Source organism: Homo sapiens, chromosome 5, assembly GCF_000001405.40.
Source record: "Homo sapiens chromosome 5, GRCh38.p14 Primary Assembly".
Classification (NCBI taxonomy): domain Eukaryota; kingdom Metazoa; phylum Chordata; class Mammalia; order Primates; family Hominidae; genus Homo; species Homo sapiens.
Window position 1 is genome coordinate 135065626 of NC_000005.10, and position 19618 is coordinate 135085243.

The window sequence follows — 19618 nt, forward strand, 5'->3', positions numbered from 1 at the left end:
GCACAGCTCCAGCTGCCAATGGAGTGAGTCTATTTTCTGTGAGCCAAAGATGGGCTTCCCGAAGGTCTGCTGGCCTTCTGGGCTTGCTCCGGGGCAAAGGGTTGGAGTCTGGGGAGGAAGGAGAAATTGGAGCTCACAGGGAGAATCAAAGGGCTGGTGCAAGGTTTATTGGGGCCTTTACTGCCCTAGTTTTCATTATTTACACCCTGTTGGTTCTAGGAGCTCCCGTTAAACGTGTAATAAATATAAAAATATTTTACAGGCCAGTGAAAATTCCACAGCAAAAATAACTCTATAAAGAGGGATTTCACCCTGCTCTGCCCGCTGCCGAATTCTGTGTGGCATTCCTCTGAGCCTGTTGGCTGGCAGCAGGGCAATGAGGTGGCAGGGTTCCCTCATCATGGCGGGGGGCATGGGCTGGGTGTTTAATTAGCCCCTTTACCAGCCTGTGAACGAGCCGCTCCTCGTAGGCTGAGCCTGCCAGCTCTCCCAGGTGGCAGTGTGTGGGAGTGGGCTGCCGTTGGGCCTGGGTCTCAGGTTGGGCTGTGGAGGTCTGCGAACCAGTAGTACGGAGGAAGGGCAGAGGCTGGAGCTGCTCTCCTGGCACCTCCTGGCCCTTGCTGGGCAGCCTGAGGTGTGGCCAAGGAGGCGGGAAGGAAGGGTGGCGTTGAAAGACATTGCAGAGTAGTGATTTGGAGCAAGGGCTCCAGGGTCAGACTGCCGGGGTTCCAGTCCCGCCTCTACCACTTAGCTGTGTAACCTTGGGTAGATGCCTTGCTCTTTCTGTGCCTGATTCCTCCTTTGTGAAATCCCATCTCACTTGATTGTTATGAAGCTGCTCCAACCTAGGATGATCCCCCAGCCTTTGGATTCTGGGTCCTTCTCCCATGGGCTTTGGTCCATCCTGTTGGCATCCCCCAGACCCCTAAACTACTACCATTTGGAGCTGGACGATTCTAAGAGACTCTCATACATAACTGGTCTCACCCCTGCTTTCTGTGCCTTTCCTGCTTCTGCTCATCCTGACTCTCTAGGGAAGCCAAGTCGGGACTGGGGAGGACTGGGAATGGAGTGGCAAAGTGTGGAGGCACCATCTTCATCCCTCGTGGGCAAGGTGGGGGAGGGCTGCAGAGTGCCATCCTGCCTATAGCCACCCCATGCAGACTGGCAGCTTCAGCACAAGCCCTTCAGTGGAGGAATGGGGTTGCTGGTGCAGGGAGGCTGATGTGAAAGCCAGCATCCACCGGCCTCGGCATGTGCCAGGCTCTGTGCTTTCCATACACCAACCCCAGGAGGGGTGCCGGTGTGACTCCCATCTTAGAGATGGGACTGCTGCTGCCAGGGAGGCCTAACAGGGAAGTGGTGGGAATGGAGGAAGCCAGGGTGGTCTCACCACTGGGCCACCCTGCCCACCTCCAGGTGGGGTGGAGGCTGCTGTGTGCTGGCAGTGCAGCATCAGGGCTGCTCCCAGTGCTCTGTCCTCCCTGGCATGGCCAGGCCTCCCCGACCCCTCCTCCCTGGCATGGCCAGACCTCCCTGACCCCTCCTTGCCGGCATGGCCAGGCCTCCCAGACCCCTCCTCTCTGAGTGCTCAGTCTCTCCTTTGCTTTGCTTTCCTGAAGAAAGTGCCTTGGAAAGCCAGCTGTGAAAGGGATGTTGTTACAGAAATTTCCTTAAATCTGCTGTGAATCTATAGAGATGGTAAATCATTCCTAAATGTTAGTACTTAATTTTAGTCACAGATTTAGCCTCCTGTTAATAAAAAGGAACCCCAGAGTGAAAGTCAAAATGTGTGTTTTGATCAGGGTGCTCTACTGCATTACCTTTTCCTCCCTTAGAGGTGGGGGTGACAGAGGGACCATGTCACGGATGAGGAAACAGAGATGTGGGGGAGGTTATTTGATCACTAACATTGCAGTGGCAGGAATAATGGTTTGCCACAGTCTCCAGTGGATGGAGTGCATTCATTTTGGTTCTGGGGCTGCCTTGGCTCTCTGAGTGGCCTGGACCACGGGCAACAGGTTGCCAGCCCAAAGAGTTCCCCTCCCTGCCAGCATGGCCAGCAGTGTGGATGCTGACGTTTGGGGCAGTGAGAAGTACTAGCTGTGTGGCCCTGGTAAGTCTCTGCCTCTTGGGCTTGGTGTGCCCACCACAGCCTGGAGGATCTGATGTGGGTGCCCACCAGGCCCCGACCACTGTGACAGACAGCACAGGTGCGGTTCTGGGACCTCAGCAGGCCCGGGAATGCAGAGAGGGCCTCAAGGCTGCCGGGTTTGGCGGGTACATCAAAGGCGGCATGGGTGAGGGCCTCCAGTAGGGCTTAGGGGCTGAGGGGTCTAAGCCCCCTAAACGTGGGGGTTCTCTCTTCTTTCTCCAGGGGCCCTGCCATTAGTCCAGAAGCCTCTTGCTCAGATTTGCAGTCCAGGCCTGCTGCTGTTCATCCTTGAGGCTGGCAGGTGTGCAGGCCCAGCGTGTTTTAGGGGCTGCAGGGCAGGGAAGGGCAGGGCATATGACTGACTCTATGTCTTCCTGTCCTCCTGGCCTGATCTGCTTCTTCATGGCAGGGCAGGGGTCAGGCTGGAAGAGCCTCCCCCTTGGCAGGCCCTTCTTTGGCTCTTCTGGCCCTCTGAGCTCTTTCCCTTCTGCCAGGACATGCCTTTGGAGCCATCGACCTTGGTATAAAAAACTGTGCTTCTGGCCAGGCACAGTGGCTCACACCTGTAATCCCAGCACTTTGGGAGGCCGAGGCGGGCGAATCACCTGAGGTCAGGAGTTTGAGACTAGCCTGGCCAACATGGTGAAACTCCATCTCTACTAAAAATACAAAAATGAGCCAGGAGTGGTGGCAGGTGCCTGTAATCCCAGCTACTCGGGAGGTTGAGGCAGGAGAATGGCTTGAACCCGGGAGGTGGAGGTTGCAGTCAGCTGAGATCATGACATTGCACTCCAGCCTGGGGCACAAGCGCGAGACTTCATCTCAAAAAAAGAAAACAAAACAAAACAACAACAACAACAAAAACAACCCCCCCCCCCAAAAAAAAACCACCACCAACAAAAAAACTGTTTCTATTGCTGTGAGCAAACCACGGCAGATCCTTGAAGGCTGGGATCTCTGTCTTTAGACATGCGGGCTGGGATTAGGGGGCATTACAGAGCATTGGGATGAAATTGTCCAAATGGAACACCCAGTCCGTAGTAACAACAGCCTTTGCCCAACTCCTCTGCCTAGAGCCAGCACACCTCGGCAGAGAGCCCCAGGAGAGGTAGCCGGGTCTCTCTGAGGCTTGCTGCTTAACTTCTTTAGGAGCTGACCACAGGTTTTTCCAGTTGTGGTTTAGGAGGGTCATGGTCCTCCCGAGGGGCTGGGGGTCTAGGGGATCAGCTTAGGGTGAGAGCCAGCCTCATTGAGTTGTGTGATCTGCCTCACCCTGCTCAGGCTGTCAGGGGAAATGGCCATGCTGGGCATTGGGACCTCAGCTTTTTAGAGGGGGCTTCCTGTGGCTCAGCCCCCTGTCCAGTGGAGACAGTGACCACATTTTCTTCCCCAACAGTCCAGTTCCCCATCGCTGTTCCTAGGACAAGGTTTTGCACCCTCATCCTAGAGGATGCTGGAGTGAGGCTGTGGGCCTGCAGAGTGGAGATTTCCAGGCCAAAGCCAGTGGCTTACTCTGCCCAGATGATCTGGCCCTGGCTGTGGAGAGAACGGCAGTGTGAGTTTTGGTAGCCACCTTCTGGGGCCATGCCCGCCATGCAGAGAAGGCCTGCGTGGGGCAAGAGCGTCACAGGAGCTGGCCGGGCTTCTTCACTTTGCTGGAAGGCCACCATTGTTGCAAGGTGTTACAGACGGAGAGTCAGAATTTCACACAAGTCATGGCTGCTGAATACCTGCCCACCTCCTTTGTCTCTTGTGGGGGCTGCATAGGGGCTCTCGGCTCTGCGTGTTGCTTACAGAGCCTCTCTGCTTTGAAGATGCAGACTTAGCCTCCCTGGCCCCGGCAGGCAGTCTTTAATCCCTCCTTTGTGTCGTCACTGGTTGGGGTGAGAGTTCATGAAGGAAGAGAGTACGCGGGCTATGTAATTAAGTCGCATGCTTGGCACAGAGACCTGGTTTTAATGCACGTATCTCATTTGCTGGCTTTTCCAGGCCATTGTCCCTAGCCCGGGCCTATGGACTAATTACAAGGTGTGGGGCTCTGCGGTGGTTCTGTGGGCCCTGGCTGGTAGTGCTGAGTTGTGCCTGCTCTCAGGCTCTGTGCTGGCTGTGCTGCAAGGGGACATTGTCCACCTGCTGGAGGTGGCCTCAATGATAGCTCTGCTGTGACCGGGTCATCACTGGGGGAGATGTCTGAATCCTCCCAAGCACTGTCAAGTTGGGCTGGCTTCTGAGATGGGCTGCAGCAACCCGTGGAGAAGAAAAAAAGGCAGAATGGGGAACAGAGCTCCCACCAGGGCTCTGCGGTAGGTGTGAGGAAGTGCATTCCAGGAGGTGGACTCTCTCCGTTGGTCGTGGTGTGGTCGTGGTGCAAGAGCACTTCTGTGGAGCTGTTGCTGTCAAACACACCTGCTGAGCCTCTCTGTTTGGGGCTTTGTGGTCCTGCCCCTGCTCCTGGTCTTTGGACTGTGGAGGGGACTCTGTTGTTCCTCAGAGGCAGATACAGATGTTGCATGTGGGACTTGCCATCAACAGCATATCACGGACGAAGAGCCCACTATGTCCAATCCCCGGTTGTGGTGCATTACGGTAATGAAGTGTGGATCCCCAGCTCTACAGAGGGGCGTGGGTGTGCCACCCACATTCGTCACATGCAGGGAGCCCCACTGCCGTGAGCATACCGTACAACAAGAGCAGCTCTGGGGGGGCCTGACTTTGGTTCCCAGTGAGTATGTTTGTCACCACGTGGATTGCACTACACGTCGCCTGCTGTTTTACTTGCCTTAGATTTAGAATAGATTTGAGGGGATGGTTTCGATGACTTATTTCTTCAGAAACAGTATCCACCACGTTTTGAATAATTTTTTAAAAATTTTTCTTAGAGTTGTCCCCAGGAAACAGGAGGTATTCAGGGTTATTTGGCTCCCGAGTGTGCCTGGAGTGGAGGAAGCTAGGAAATGCTGCGTGGAAGTGCCAATAACAGCTTTGCCATCAGCGTTTCCTCTCCAGAAAAGTGGTGGGGTAAATAATAGCTAACATTACTGAGAGCCAGACTGTGCCAGGCTCTCCTGGGCCCTTGATGTGTGTTATTTTAATCATCGGTCAACGTCTTGAGGTAGGGACTATTAGGAAACCTATGTATAGGTGAGGAAACTGAGGCAGGGAGACGGTGATGTGTCTCATATCACACAGCGAGGAGGTGATGGTCCCGGATTGGGAAGGGGGCTGTCAGCTGCCAGACCCTCTCCTGTCTCCACCAGGAAGGGCTGACCAGCATCCTCACTTGTGGCCCCTGGTTCCCCAGAGCCACAGAGGGAGTGTGCAGGGGCAGACTCTGGCCACGTTGGCCAGGATAGGTGTTGTGGCTCCAGAGAGGGAAGCCCAAGCAGAGTCCTCTCTACTCTGAATCCACCTGACCACCAGGCCCAGCTTTCCTTCCCTGTCCCCTGTCTACCTGCCTCCAGCAATATCAGGTGCAGCAGGACTCCGAGAAAGCCTTGAGAGTGGAGACTAACTCTGTTTTAAAACCATGAGCCCCGAGGCTCAATCCAACAAGGAGCAGTTGGACCCTACAATGTGCAGAAGGTATTCCTGCCTGTGAAATGGCTGGTGAGCTGTCCCCATGCCAGATGACAGGCACTGGCGGTGTTGTGGGGAGGCCCTATGACCTGTCAGTCACACAGTGGGCTGCTGTGTGTGTCTCAGAGAAGAGCTGCCACAGACACAGGGCAGGCCCCACCAGAGAGCCGTGTGAGTTCTGGGTCCCGCATGGGTGAGCACCTCTGCTGAAGCAGGCAGACTCTGTCTGGGATCTGTGGTCTGCGTGGGAACCCTGGCCTCACTGAGCCAGGCACAAGGTCTTTTTCCGGCCATCTGCCCCACAGGACCCAGACCAGGGCTGCTGTGGGGCCTCAGTAAATGCTTATTCCACATACTTATTTTGGAGTTCAATGAAAAACAAATGGTGGACAATCCCTGCTCTTGCACAGTGGCTAAGTTCTCAGTGGACTTTGATGGGCAGATCCTCTTCATCCTCACAGTGGCCCAGCAAGAGCACCCCACCTCGCATGTTCTTGCCAGCCTACCCTGTCCCTCAAGCCTCTGTACCTTTGCACATGTGGTTCCTTCTGCCTGGCCTGCCTAATACCTACTTGGCCTTCAGCTGCTTGCAATAGGATGTCTCTCCTCCAGGGGCTTTCTCTGATCCCCACAAGCCTGGGCTTGGTGGAGTGGTCTCAAGGAAGCAATGATCACACTGTGCAAAATGGGCAAACAGGCAGTTCCACCTCCCTCAGAGACGAGGACTGTCTTGTCCTTACTGTCATGTCCCTAGCATGTCATATGATAATAATGAGTGACAACAATAATAATGATGACAATAAGCACTCAGCCTGTGCCAGGCACTGTGCACAGCATTTTTCCAATGTTTACCTATTTACTTCTCATATCAGCCCTGTGAGGCAGCTACTCTTCTTATTGCCATCTGGCATGTAGGACACAGGCATAAAGTGTCTAGCTCGGGCGATCTGTCGGGGCTGCTCTTAACGCTAGGCCAGACCACATCTCCGGGGTGCTCCGGAGTATGTGATCCGTATCTAGTCATTTTGTCTTTTTTGTCTCCCTCTTCACATGAGGGCCAAAGGTAAAGGGTGAGGGGCTTGGCTAAGGGCATGTGACTGGTAGGAACAGCAGGGGTCTCCAGACCACATTAGGCCACAAGCTCTTTGAAGGCAGGGACTTGGACCAGTTTGTCCTTCTGTGTGTCACTGGCTTTTGGCTTGGAGCCCGGGGCATAGAAGGTGCTCATTCCCTGTGAATGACATCCAGGAGTTTTTGATTTCCTGGCAGTGACATCCCTAAATCTCACACCAGGAACCCCTGCGAAGAGGTGTTTGGGTTGATGGCTGTCAGAGGTGGCCTTGGCAGGCAGGGACAGCAGTCTGGGGGTGTGAGGCAGAGGGAGGACCACCATGGGATACACCCATGATCCTGTCTCTGGCCTCCTGGAGGTGACTCTGCCCCTCAGATGGGGCCCTGAGTTCACCTTGGTCTGAGAGCAGTCCCGTCTGGGAACACCTGCAGGCATCTGGGGCTGGAGACTTCCTTGCAGTCCCCTACAGGAAAGGAGGTGCCTATCTCAGAAGGTTAGGCTTTGTTTTCCCTGCAGCCTGGAGTGAGCTCCTCTTCGGCTGGGAGGCCCCTCCCATTGTGAGCAAACATGGGCTCTGTAGGAGGTAGCATGGTGGTATGGCCTTTTGTTGGGCACACCTGGCTCAAACATCTTGCGGGCTGGGAGTGACTCTGTCAGTCCCTCCTCTCTGCATAGCAGCACGGAGTCGTTCCGAACATTCTCGTTTGGGCTCTGACAGCTGTGTCAGCTGCTGGCCTCACTCACAGGCAAAAGGCACGTCGAAAGTAAGGTTTAAACCTGTTACTTGCTGCCGCCTTCCTGCCTGGCTGGGTCCTGTTGCCCTGGCCCCAGCTGCACGTCTGTTCTCTGCCTGCCTTAGTGCCAACATCCAAGGCCCAGCTCACCATGTGTTTCCCCGTAGCCCCTAGACATAAAATAACACCCCGTACTACACGCACTTTCCTCCAGAACCCTTTATAAATAGTCGTTAAAGAATTAGAATCACCGGGTTAAGTCAGTAATACCAGATGCCCTGGGTGGCAGGGAGAGGCACACTGACCACAGCGAGCTTGGACCGCCTCATCATTTGTGCCAAGGTCAGCAGCAAGCCAGAAAAAGGGCAGATCAAAAGTTGCTGTCATTGGCCCTTGAGCCTAGAATTGAGAAATCCATAACTGAGCTGTTCAATGAAATTATTTTCAATAATTCTCTTTTGTGCTAATGAGTCACGTCGTCTTCTGAAAACTCAAGCCTTGTTCACCTTAGGCTTGTTATTAAAATAATAATTGGAGGTATTGTCTCCTCTTTGTAAACTAGCAGCACAATGGCTGTTAAATAGAAAAGAGAACTGTAATTTATTTTAAGATTCAGGGATTTTGTATTTGCAAATAGGCAGCAATTATGAAATGAATACTGTAATTATAACCACTCTGGAAAGATGAATGAGGTGGTAACTAGCTGAGATGTGTTTTCTGGTTAGAAAATATATTATCTCAGTTCTGAGCAAAATCTGCTGGGCTTCCTGTCCCTGGGTTTTTGGGCGCTGAATCAGAGAGTGATTAAAAGCCTGGGAAAGCTCCCTCTCCCCCTGATTTGCTGAGGGAGCAATGCTGCCCTTTCTCAGATGAGCGGGGTGTTCTCTCAGAAGTCAGGCCGGGTGAGGGGCTCAGCAGGAAGACTTATAGCCAAAGCCAGAGAGGGGAAGTTGTCCACTCTGCTCTCTTCTTTTGTCACGAGTGACAGGGCTGTGTGGCCTGTCCCCGGCCGCGTCAAGCTGGCTGAGCTGTTTCCTCGAGCTGTGCAGAGCTTCCCCTCACTTGGTGTCTCCCCTGGGCTCTGCCAGATCAGACCCCTTGCTGGAGATTCATGCCCTGGAAAGCATGACCCTTCCTCCTTATTTCCCTTTTGGGGAATAATCTGGAACCCATGATTAGATCCCTCAAAATCAATTATCTTTATCTGGTGATGTGTTTTTCCAAGAAACACTTCTAATGTTTGACTTTCTGCAGGGCATCCTTAGAAACATCTCAAGACTTGCTGGATGTTTGAAGGTCTCTCTGGATTCCTAGCAGGTGGTCTGATGCTCGAAGGTTTCCCACAGCTGGATGGGAGGGAATTCAGGTATGCTGAACATTGACATCTGACTTGTCTGGAGGAACTCAGAGACAGAAAATAGGACCTAGTGTTACAATTCACAGGTCTCTTTACTCAGCGTGGACCCAACCTCAGGATCCTGTGGCTCTTTTAATAGATATCTCAGTTGGAGCCAAGGTTTAAATATTTGAGAAAAATGAGACTCAACACAAGTGTGAAGTGAAAAGGACATTGCTACCTTGATTAAGAAACAAATCAGCAAAAGTAAAATTCCTTAGTAGACAGTCAGCTCCTTGAGGTGAGGATGCGTCTGCTCTGTTCATTGCTGCTTCCCCAGCTCCTGGAACAGTATCTGGCTCAGAGAGTCGGTGGATAAATAGGAAAAAACCTCAATAATAACTGGGTTTGCTTGAAATCTTTCCTGTTGGAATGATAAACGCATCCTGGATTTGTGGTTAGGGCCCAAGCTCTCCTGGAAAACCCTTCTTCTTTGGAGAAAGCAAAAGGACCTGTGCTCCCCAGGTAGACCTCCCAGTTCTGTTGCCTGGGAGGTTGTGGAAGCAATCCTGCTGATTTTTCAGGGTGCTGATTTAGTGAGGATCATGTTGTGGGTGGTTCTTCCATACTTCCCAGTCTCTTTGAGTAGTATTGGCATCAGTGGCCTAATGTGAACATTAGCTGGGGTTTCTGCCTTAGTCATGTATGTCTAAATGTGTATGTATTTGTTTATGTACACAAATAGCAAAGATCAATATATTCTGAAAATTTAAAGCATACTTTTTTTTTTTTTTTTTTGAGAGACGGAGTCTTGCTCTGTTGCCCAGGCTGGAGTGCAGTGACGTGATCTCGGCTCACTGAAGCATACATTTTGAGAGTACCGTAACAGGGTATGTTGTACTGTTTGCTCATCTGAGATCATGTCAAATATGCAACTAAGCGCATGTCGGTCATTTTCAGGGATGCACATGGAGTTTGTGTGTTTTCCACGGATGTGTTAAGCCAGAGCACTGGATGCAAGGCAGCCGGGTCTCTTGAATACAGAATAGGACTGTGTGTGTGTGTGTATTTGAACCCTTCTTGGTCCATGGAACTTGTGCTCTGAGGCTGCAAATCAGTATGTCTGTATTTCCTCTTTAAATTGGACTTCTAGAGAAGAATTCCTATCTGCGGGTTAAATAACTGACTTGGCATTGATTGGGACAGACCTGGTCTTCTGTGGGTGTGGCTGACCCTAGGCGTGGACATGGGAGTCTCTGAGAGGCTTTGGATGAGCCTCCTCCACCCTCACACCGACCAGCTGCTGACCCTGGGTTCTTAGGGTCTCACTGCCCCATGAGTTCTGGTAGCAGAGATCAAGGTCTCCAAGCTTTTTCCTTCTTTGCAATTCTCACTCTGGGCTGGCGTGAGTGCTCCCAGTGAGGGGCCTGTAGACCCATGGCTGTCTCCTCTCCAGGGCAGATGTACTGCCAGAGCAGAGGAGTGGTTTCTGAACACCCAAGCTGTGGCTGGGCTGAATGGTGAAAATAAACACACACACATCCTCTCAGTCACCCGGCTCTTTTCTTCTCCATGGGAGTGCTCAGGGTTTCAGCATCACTAATATGCCTATTGTGGGCCCGATAAATGGGAAAGAGGCATTAACAGGCTGCAAGGCCTCACGGTGACAGAAGCTGCCTGCAGAATGTACTGCGGGTTCGGACTGGGGTGAGTCACCGCCAGCCTGGGAAATGCACTGGTGATGATGGATGGCCGGGGTGCTCGGATGCGCCCCTGACAGTATTTGCACAAACAGGGAACTCAAACGAATGGGTTTTTTGAAGAGCTTATATAAGTCAGTTGGCAATGCACAGATACCCAGCTGTGTGGCATGACAGGACAGGGCTTTGCGTTCCTGTTCAGAAACAGGTGACTTTCAGAACCAGTTTGCCTGTGTCAGGACTTGAAATGGTTTGCTCTGCGCTTCTGTTGTCATAACCCCCCTTTTCTCTTTGCCTTTCTCTTTATAAAAACTTTCTTTGCAAAGGGATTCTCATAACTGGAACAGTAGGGCTACTGTTGCTTCCAGCAGCTGCCCAAGGGGTTTGCTTTTCTTTGGGACTCTGACTTCCTTGAAAGATGCATCAGGGAGGGAGCGGCAGGTGTGTGTGGCTGGGCGCTCTGAGAGGTGGTGGGGGGAAGGGGCAGGAGTTGGGGGGCATTGCTGGAAACGAACTTTACCACATTCCTGGGGTCATCTCTGGTGTCTATCCTGGCTGTGGGGTGTAGAATGGACACAGAATAACCTCACATCCACATAGCACTTTGCCAGTCCCTGGCAAGTAGGAGGCATCTCATTTGCTCCTTCCATCAGCCCTGCTGCAAGGTAGGCAGGGCAGGGGTTGTTGTCATTTATAAAGATAACAGAGTCAGACAGGAGTTGGTCCTTGCAAGGTCCCCCAGCAGGCCAGAGCGGGGCAGACCTGGAATACTGATACAATGCCTTTCAGTCCCATTCCTTACTGCCACGGTCCCAGCCTGCTCTAGCCCTCTGTCCTACTGGCTTCCTGGAGGTGCAAGGGGCTGGTACGTAGGGCCTTCTGAAATGTGGAGCCTATAGTTTGAGACCACATCGAAGTGTGGACCACATCCCATTGTTGAAGCTAGGGCACCAGTCCCTTACTCCCCTGGTGCTGTGGGACAAGCTGGTACTGATCCAAACCTGCTCGCATTGCACCATTGATTCTTTCGATCACTATTGAGATTAAGAAAATCATTAGCTACAGAGGCAGCCTCTTGTCCAAGATTTTGTTCTAGATTTATCATTTATTTATAAGAAAAAAGTTTTTACTTATTATAAAGTAGTACATGGTTATTGTGGAAAGGCAGAAAATATGAAGAAAAAATATTCTAATGATCTCACCACCTTTGTATGTAAAACAAAGTGGGATCATGCTAATTATTATTATTTTTTTAGATGGAGTCTCGCTCTATCACCCAGGCAGTGGCGCGATCTTGGCTCACTGCAGCCTCTGCCTCCCAGGTTCAAGCAATTCTTCTGCCTCAGCTTCCCGAGTAGCTGGGATTACAGGCACATGCCATTATTCTCAGCTAATTTTTGTGTTTTTAGTAGAGACGGGGTTTCACCATGTTGGCCAGGCTGCTCTTGAACTCCTGACCTCAGGTGATCTGCCTTTGAACTCCTGACCTCAGGTGATTTCACCAGCCTCAGCCTCCCAAAGTGCTGGCATTACAGGCGTGAGGCACTGTGCCCAGCAAATTATGTAACATTTTTATAACTCCAGTTTTTCGTCTTATTTTATTGTGAATGCTTGTGACTGTCACTGAATAGTCCTAAACAACATCATCTCTAGGGCTGCAGACTATCTTCTCATTGGTTGGAACCTAGGCTGCTTGTAACTTCTGTTTTCCTCAACACTGGCAGTGAACAACCTCATGGCCAAATCTGCTCACATTTATTCTTTAACAAATATTTGTTGGGTGTGAGGCATGTTTTCCGTGGGATAAATTCCTGCAGGTGGATTTGGTGGGCTAAATCATGTGTTTTTAAAGTTACTAAATTCATGGTAAAAAGTTTCAACAGTACAGAAGGGAATATAGTGAGAACTTGAAGACTTCTCCATCCTCTACTCTCTAAAATAACCACTGCTAATTTCTTAGTTATCCTTCCAGAAGTTGTGCATGTGTGCACGCATGCATGTATGTGTGTACCTTTTAAGGACAAATTGATTCATAACTTTCATAACAGTATGAACAATGATTTTTCTATTTAATAAGGTGTCCTGGGCAACTTCCCACATTAGCATGGCAGCTTCATGACATAGCTGTACCAGTCTCTTATCAATGGACTCTTTTAAAAAAAATTACAAAGCATTTTTTTTTTTGAGATGGAATCTCACTCGGTGTAGTGGTACGATCTCGGCTCACGGCAACCTCCGCCTCCTGGGTTTAAAGGATTCTCTTGCCTCAGCCTTCCGAGTAGCTGGGACTACAGGTGCACGCCACCATGCCTGGCTAATTTGTGTATTTTTAGTAGAGATGGGGTTTCACCATGTTGGTCAGGCTGGTCTCGAACTGCTGACCTCAGGTGATTCGCTCACCTTGGCCTCCCAAAGTGCTGGGATTACAGGCGTGAGCCACCGTGCCTGGCCACAAAGCATTTTTTTAAAAATGCTTCAGTGAACATCCTTATGTCTTGGTGTAGTTGCACAGCAGAACTGGAGAAATGCTAGGAGCAGAATTGTTGAGTTGGAGAATTATGTCCATTTACAGTTTTTATAGCCATTGCTAAATCAGTGTGCATGTTTTATACTCTCATATATGTCAGCAAATTATTTTACAGGAAGGCTATATCTACCCCCTTACCAGCAGAGTCTAAGAATGTCTTTTTCCCCACATCTTTCACTACCACCGTGGATTATAAATTTTAAAATGTCTATTTATTAGGTAAAAAAGAAGGAATTTGGTTTTTGGATATTAATTTGCATTTCTTCTGTTATTAGCATGAGGTCCTCCCTGCAGCTGAGATAGTGCTTCCTAGCAAACACCTTGCAGTGAGCTTGGTCCCAAGCCTTCTGACTAGCCTCGTCTCCCCTGGGAGATTGCCTTGTGTAACCCAAGGAAGTGTCCCCACTTCTGATACTTGCCTGTGGTTTGCTTTTGCTTCTGGAATTTGATTCTGGTAAGAGCCTGCTGACTTTCTGGTAAGGGACCTCCTGGCGTTGTCTTTTTATTCAGTGTTATCATCCTTTCAACTTGGTGACTGCTCCACTTACCCCCACACCCTCCTGACTTCTCAGTCCTCTGGTGCCTGAGGTCATAAGATGTAGTTAGCTCTGGCTGTGTTTGAAGGAGGGTGGAGATGGAGCTGCCCTGCCAGAAGGCAAGCCTTCAACCTCTTTCTGAAAAGTAGATGAGGACTTGTTGAGTCCTTACCATGCACCAGGCACTATGCTAGCTACTTCACATATATCTCTCCAGGAATCCTCCCAGCGGGCCTGGAATGAGGGCCACATTACCCCAGCTTGCACAGGTTCAGAGTGGTTGAGGAACTTTTCCAGAGTCACAGAGCCAGCTGGTGGCAGAGCTCAGAGCTAGTTGATTTCAAGGCCTGTTCTCCTTCCACCGTTTTATGCTGCTGAAGACAGGCAGACCCTCAACTCACACCTCTTAGGAGTCTGGAAACCCACCACCAGAGAAGATCTGTTAATCAAGATTGAAAGGGTGCTTCACACCTGGTGCAGGCTGCAAGGACACCTTCAGGGCACCAGAGAACATCCCCACTTAACAGCAATGGTGACTATCATCCCAGCCTCACTAGGTCCAGGCTAGCTAGGTCTCTCTGCAGTTCCCAGCCAAGGATCCCAAAATGAGCCTCTGGAGCACAATCATATCATACCAGGGAGAGTCCTGTTTCCCATGGGGCAGATCCTGCAGGGCCAGACGTGCCCACCAGCAAGCGTGGCCAAGGCTTCTAGCTCAGGAAGCAGGCAGAGGACCTACTCACAGGCTTTCAGCTTTCTGGAATGGTCCCTCCCTAGCCTGGGGTTGATGGGGCCACACCTCCTCATGTGTCCTCTGGGTGACATTTTATTTTTTAAAATGAAAACATGTTGGAATTAGTTATTTTAGCATTTATTTTCTTAAATTTCTAAAACTTTATTTTTTTCTGCTGATACTCACTGTAAAAAGTCCAAATAATATAGTGACTAATATAGTTAAGTGCTCAATAAATATTTGGAGAACAACGTATTAGTCTGTTTTCACACTGCTATAAAGAAATACCTGAGACTGGGTAACTTATAAAGAAAAGAGGCTACATTGGCTCATGGTTATGCAGGCTGACAGGAAGCATGGTGCTGGCCATTTGCTCGGCTTCTGAGGAGGGCTCAGGAAACTTACAATCATGGCGGAAGGGGAAAGGGAAGCAGGCTCATCTTCCATGGTCAGAGCAGGAGGAAGAGAGAGATGGGGGAGGTGCCATACACTTTTACACAAGTCATCTACCTCTATTTTCTACTTCCCAGAGAAAAGCAATTTCAATCCTTCTAGCTGATTTTTAAGAGTATTTACTTTTATAACTCTATAAAACATGTTTGTATTGTTTCTTTTAAATTGTTCAGTTTTGAGGCTGGGCACAGTGGCTCATGCCTGTAATCCCAGCACTTTGGGAGGCCGAGGTGGGCGGATCACCTAAGGTCAGGAGTTTGAGACCAGCCTGACCAACATGGTGAAATCCCGTCTCTACTAAAAATACAAAAAAAAAAAAAATTGTTCAGTTTTGAGCATTATCTATTGACTTCTCACTGTGGGAGATTAGCCTCCGGCTTTCTTTTATACTCCTCACCCACATGCTCCATCCCATGCCCTCATGATACTCCCCTGTGCTCCCCAAAGGGTTCTGTGTTTTGATAAATCAGTTATTTGGGCTATGTCATATTAGACTATGAGCATTTTCTTTTGGCTACACAATGTTTTGTTCCCCCACAGTTAATAATTATTGTTATGTGCTTAGTTTTCTGTGTATTTGTCATTATTTTGTTTGCACACTGTTCTCTGGTTGTATAAGTCTCCTCTCAATGTATTTAGATGCATTAGGTATTTACTAGGTTAATGTTTCTGAGAAAAATCTCTCCTGGAACATTCAGACTTGCTCTGGTCTGGGCTGGTTGCCCTCTATGCTGGGTGTACATATGTATTCCTGAGATGTTCCTTCACCATTATCCTGGGAATTAGTTTTATTTATCTTCCAAGTAGGATTTCCTGTCTCTTGAATCCCATGCTTTCCTGCTTGGTTTACTCCCTCATTTGTCAGAGCATACTCCCTGTGGATTCCCAAGAAAGAGTGTGTTGCGGGTAATGTTTTTAAAGGCACTTACATGTTATAAACTCTTTACTTTCCTATCACACTTAATTTGATAGTTTGGCTGGGTATAGAATTCCAATTTGGAAGTAATTTTCCTTAAGAATTTTGAAGGTTTTCTCCATTACCTACTAGCTTTTGATGTGGGTGTTGAAAATTCTCATGCCATTTTGATTCATGATCTTTTGTGTGAAACCTGTCATTATTTTCTCTCTAGAGGCTTTTAGGACCTTTTTTTTTTGGACCCATATTAGTCCGTTTTCACCCTGCTATAAAGAACTGCCAGAGACTGAGTAATTTATAAAGAAAGAAGGTTTAATTGACTCACAGTTCCACATGGCTGGGGAGGCCTCAGGAAACTTACAATCATGGCAGAAGGCGAAGGAGAAGCAAGTACCTTCTTCACTAGGTGGTAGAAGAGAGGAGAGCTTGTGATGGAGGATCTGCCAAACACTTATAAAACCATCAGAACTCACTATTACAAGAACAGCATGGGGGAAACCACCCCCATGATCCAGTCACCTCCCATCAGGTCCCTCCCTTGACGTGTGGGGATTACAATTCGAGATGAGATTTGGGTGAGGATACAGAGCCAAATCATATCAGTTCCCAATGTTCTGAAACTGACATTTGGTATGATTTTGATATAATTCTATTTTGTTTCATTGCTAGGCACTCAGTGGGCTATTCAGTTGGGAAACTCATGTCCTTTAGTTTTAGGAAATCTACTAGAATTATGTATCTATCTATCTTCCTGTCCTTTCTATTTTCTGCCTCCCTTTTTGAACTCTTATGTGGCAGGTTGTAAAAACAACCTGTTCCTTGTCTCCATGCCCATTGCCATGTAACTTTGACTACTCTGACTCTGGGCTCAGCCATATGTCTTGCTTTGGGCCAAGGGGATGTTGGTAATCAATACAAGTAGAGGACTGAAAGCCACTGAAGGTGACTGAGCTTGCTTGCTCTTGCCTGCCCCCATTGCCATGAGAGGAACATGCCCAGGTTAGTCCACTGGTTCCAGGAAGGTATGAGAGACAGGTGGAGCAGCCAACGTAAGCAGACATCTGGATACATGAGCAATAAATGCTTGTTGTTGTAAGCCACTGTGATATTGTTGTTATTAAGAATTTTTGTGGCAATAATTGATATATCTGATTGTTTGGATATTGGACTTCTTAGCATAGTCCTCTAATTTTCTTTTTACTGTTCTTTCTGGGAGAGTCTTTCAACACTATCTTTTATCCCCCTTACTGAGTTTTTCATTTCTGCTATCATATTTTTAATTTCCAAGAACTCTTTTTGGTTCTCTGAATGATGTTGTTGCCTTGTAGCATCCTATCTTGTTTCATGGAAGCAAGATCATTTCTCATTGCATTCACTATTCTTTAAAGTTTTGTCTTCTTGCATTGAATCTTTCCTCCAAATAGCTTTGTTATTCTGTTTCCTTTGTTCTCTTTCATATTAGATAATTTCTTCTAATGTCTCGTATTTCTTTTTTTAATTAATTAATTAATTTTTTTATTATTATACTTTAAGTTTTAGGGTACATGTGCACACTGTGCAGGTTAGTTACATATGTATACATGTGCCGTGCTGGTGTGCTGCACCCACTAACTCGTCATCTAGCATTAGGTATATCTCCCACTGCTATCCCTCCCCCCTCCCCCAACCCCACAACAGTCCCCAGAGTGTGATGTTCCCCTTCCTGTGTCCATGTGATCTCATTGTTCAATTCCCACCTATGAGTGAGAATATGCGGTGTTTGGTTTTTTGTTCTTGTGATAGTTTACTGAGAATGATGATTTCCAATTTCATCCATGTCCGTACAAAGGACATGAACTCATCATTTTTTATGGCTGCATAGTATTCCATGGTGTATATGTGCCACATTTTCTTAATCCAGTCTATCATTGTTGGACATTTGGGTTGGTTCCAAGTCTTTGCTATTGTGAATAATGCCGCAATAAACATACGTGTGCATGTGTCTTTATAGCAGCATGATTTACAGTCCTTTGGGTATATACCCAGTAATGGGATGGCTGGGTCAAATGGTATTTCTAGTTCTAGATCCCTGAGGAATCGCCACACTGACCTCCACAATGGTTGAACTAGTTTACAGTTCCACCAACCGTGTAAAAGTGTTCCTATTTCTCCACATCCTCTCCAGCACCTGTTGTTTCCTGACTTTTTAATGATTGCCATTCTAACTGGTGTGAGATGGTGTCTCGTATTTCTTGCCTGTGCTTTCATATTCACTAACAAACTGGTTGGAACACTGTGTTTGTGTTGTTCACAGAACAGCAATCTTTTTGGGGGAACTTCTAACTCTTTTTTCTAGGACTGGCTGGAGGACTCAGAGAAGCCCCCTCCCATTCTGCAGATTTAAGGACATTCACCTAGCTGCCAGCCTTATGTGAATCTGATGGGGGAAAAAGTCAAGGGGGCCTTGACATTCAGAATGTAAACTTTCACTCACTTCCTCTGTTTTCAGTATGGTACTTTACCTCTCATCTGTCCTTGGTGTCCCCCAAACCAGAGTCCTTCTGTTTAACTCTTCCCAGAAAATCCTCCAGTCTTCTATCAGCAGGGAGGGGGGCAGTCACTTGGCTGCAGGGAGTTGGAGAGGGTACCTGTACCTCTAAAGGCTGATGATAAGGGCTTTCAGCCGGCCCTCCTGTTCTCAACCCCTCCTCCCACAGGTCTCTGGTGCCTCTAATTCCTAAGGCTTTGTATAATTCTATGGCAAATGTCAGGTGGCTTTTTGGCTTTCTTCACTGCTGACTTAGGATTTAGTTTACTTAGGTCTGTTAAGTCAGTTCCCCTCATCCATCTGCTTTCCAGTTTCCAACATTTTGTTGCTATGGTTTTCTCTTATGTTCTTCCTATCCTTGTGGATTTAGGCCTTTTGGGGGTACATAGTGCTTTACTTTAATGGGATGTCTTTATCACTTCTTTGATAGTACATGGTCATTATAAAAATCAAAACCATCCAGAGCAAGTGAACTTCCCTCATAATATGCCCTCTCCATAGCTACTCTTAAGTATTTATCCTTCCAGATAGTTTTGCCTTTGTGAATTATATGCATGTGTATGCTGAAATAAATACTCACGTATATAAACACACACACTTTGCAAATATACATGAGATCACATTACACTACAATGTTCTGTAACCAGTCTTTTCCCCCAACACCAAGTCTTGGATGTCTTTCAATGGTATTTAAGGAGCTACTACTTTCTTTTGAATAAGGAGCAGAATGTTCTATCATACCATAACTTACATGCCTAGTCTCTTATTAATGAACATTTAGGATACTTTCGACTTTTTGCTACTCTGAATATGAGTGTACCCACATCTTTGCAAACCTGTCCTTTTGTCTCCTTAGGCATTTTCTTGAAGTGGGATTGCTGGATGGGCATGCTTGGCTAGGATAGTGTCAGATTGCTCTCGAGAGAGGTGGGCCAGCGTGTACTCCATTCCTCGGCGAGTGAGAGGGCTTTTCTCCTTTCCTGCTCCTGCCTTTACCGCTCTTTTTAGTTGTTGCCAGTTAGTTGGGTGAAATGGTATCTGATGGTGCTTTGACTCGCCTTTCTTTGAATAGCAGGGCTAAGCCTTTTTCTGTGTGTCTGTGGCCAGTGTGATGCCCCTGTGAACTGTTGGCTTTCTGTGCAGCTTTTTCTCTTTCAGAAGGGAGGCCTCAGACCCCACTTCATCCCTGGCTTTGCTGCCTGGGTGTCATGGGTCTCTGGGGTCCAGAGGCTGTGTGGATAGTGGGCAGAGGCATGGGGTGAGGGTGGGGTAGTCCAGAGAGCAGTGTGTGCCACCCTCCCAGATTTCTCTGATTCCTTGGAGCAAAGTCGCTTAATTGGGAGTCAGCACAGC

The 19618-nt window shown here is 48.5% G+C and overlaps 1 long non-coding RNA gene across 1 annotated transcript in view, besides 2 other annotated features; it reads left to right on the top strand.

Annotated features, from left to right (window-relative positions):
* PITX1-AS1 (PITX1 antisense RNA 1) overlaps window positions 1–19618 on the top strand; it is a 311407-nt gene that overhangs the window by 32352 nt on the left and 259437 nt on the right. The gene's annotated exons all lie outside the window — the stretch shown is intronic.
* Window positions 9–700: an enhancer, noted in NCBI's record as "H3K4me1 hESC enhancer chr5:134401324-134402015 (GRCh37/hg19 assembly coordinates)". NCBI's record gives its function as "activates a minimal SCP1, AML or CMV promoter by ChIP-STARR-seq in naive H9 embryonic stem cells {active_cell/tissue: H9 hESC(naive)}" and the evidence as "EXISTENCE:reporter gene assay evidence [ECO:0000049][PMID:30033119]".
* Window positions 2083–2772: an enhancer, noted in NCBI's record as "H3K4me1 hESC enhancer chr5:134403398-134404087 (GRCh37/hg19 assembly coordinates)". NCBI's record gives its function as "activates a minimal SCP1, AML or CMV promoter by ChIP-STARR-seq in naive H9 embryonic stem cells {active_cell/tissue: H9 hESC(naive)}" and the evidence as "EXISTENCE:reporter gene assay evidence [ECO:0000049][PMID:30033119]".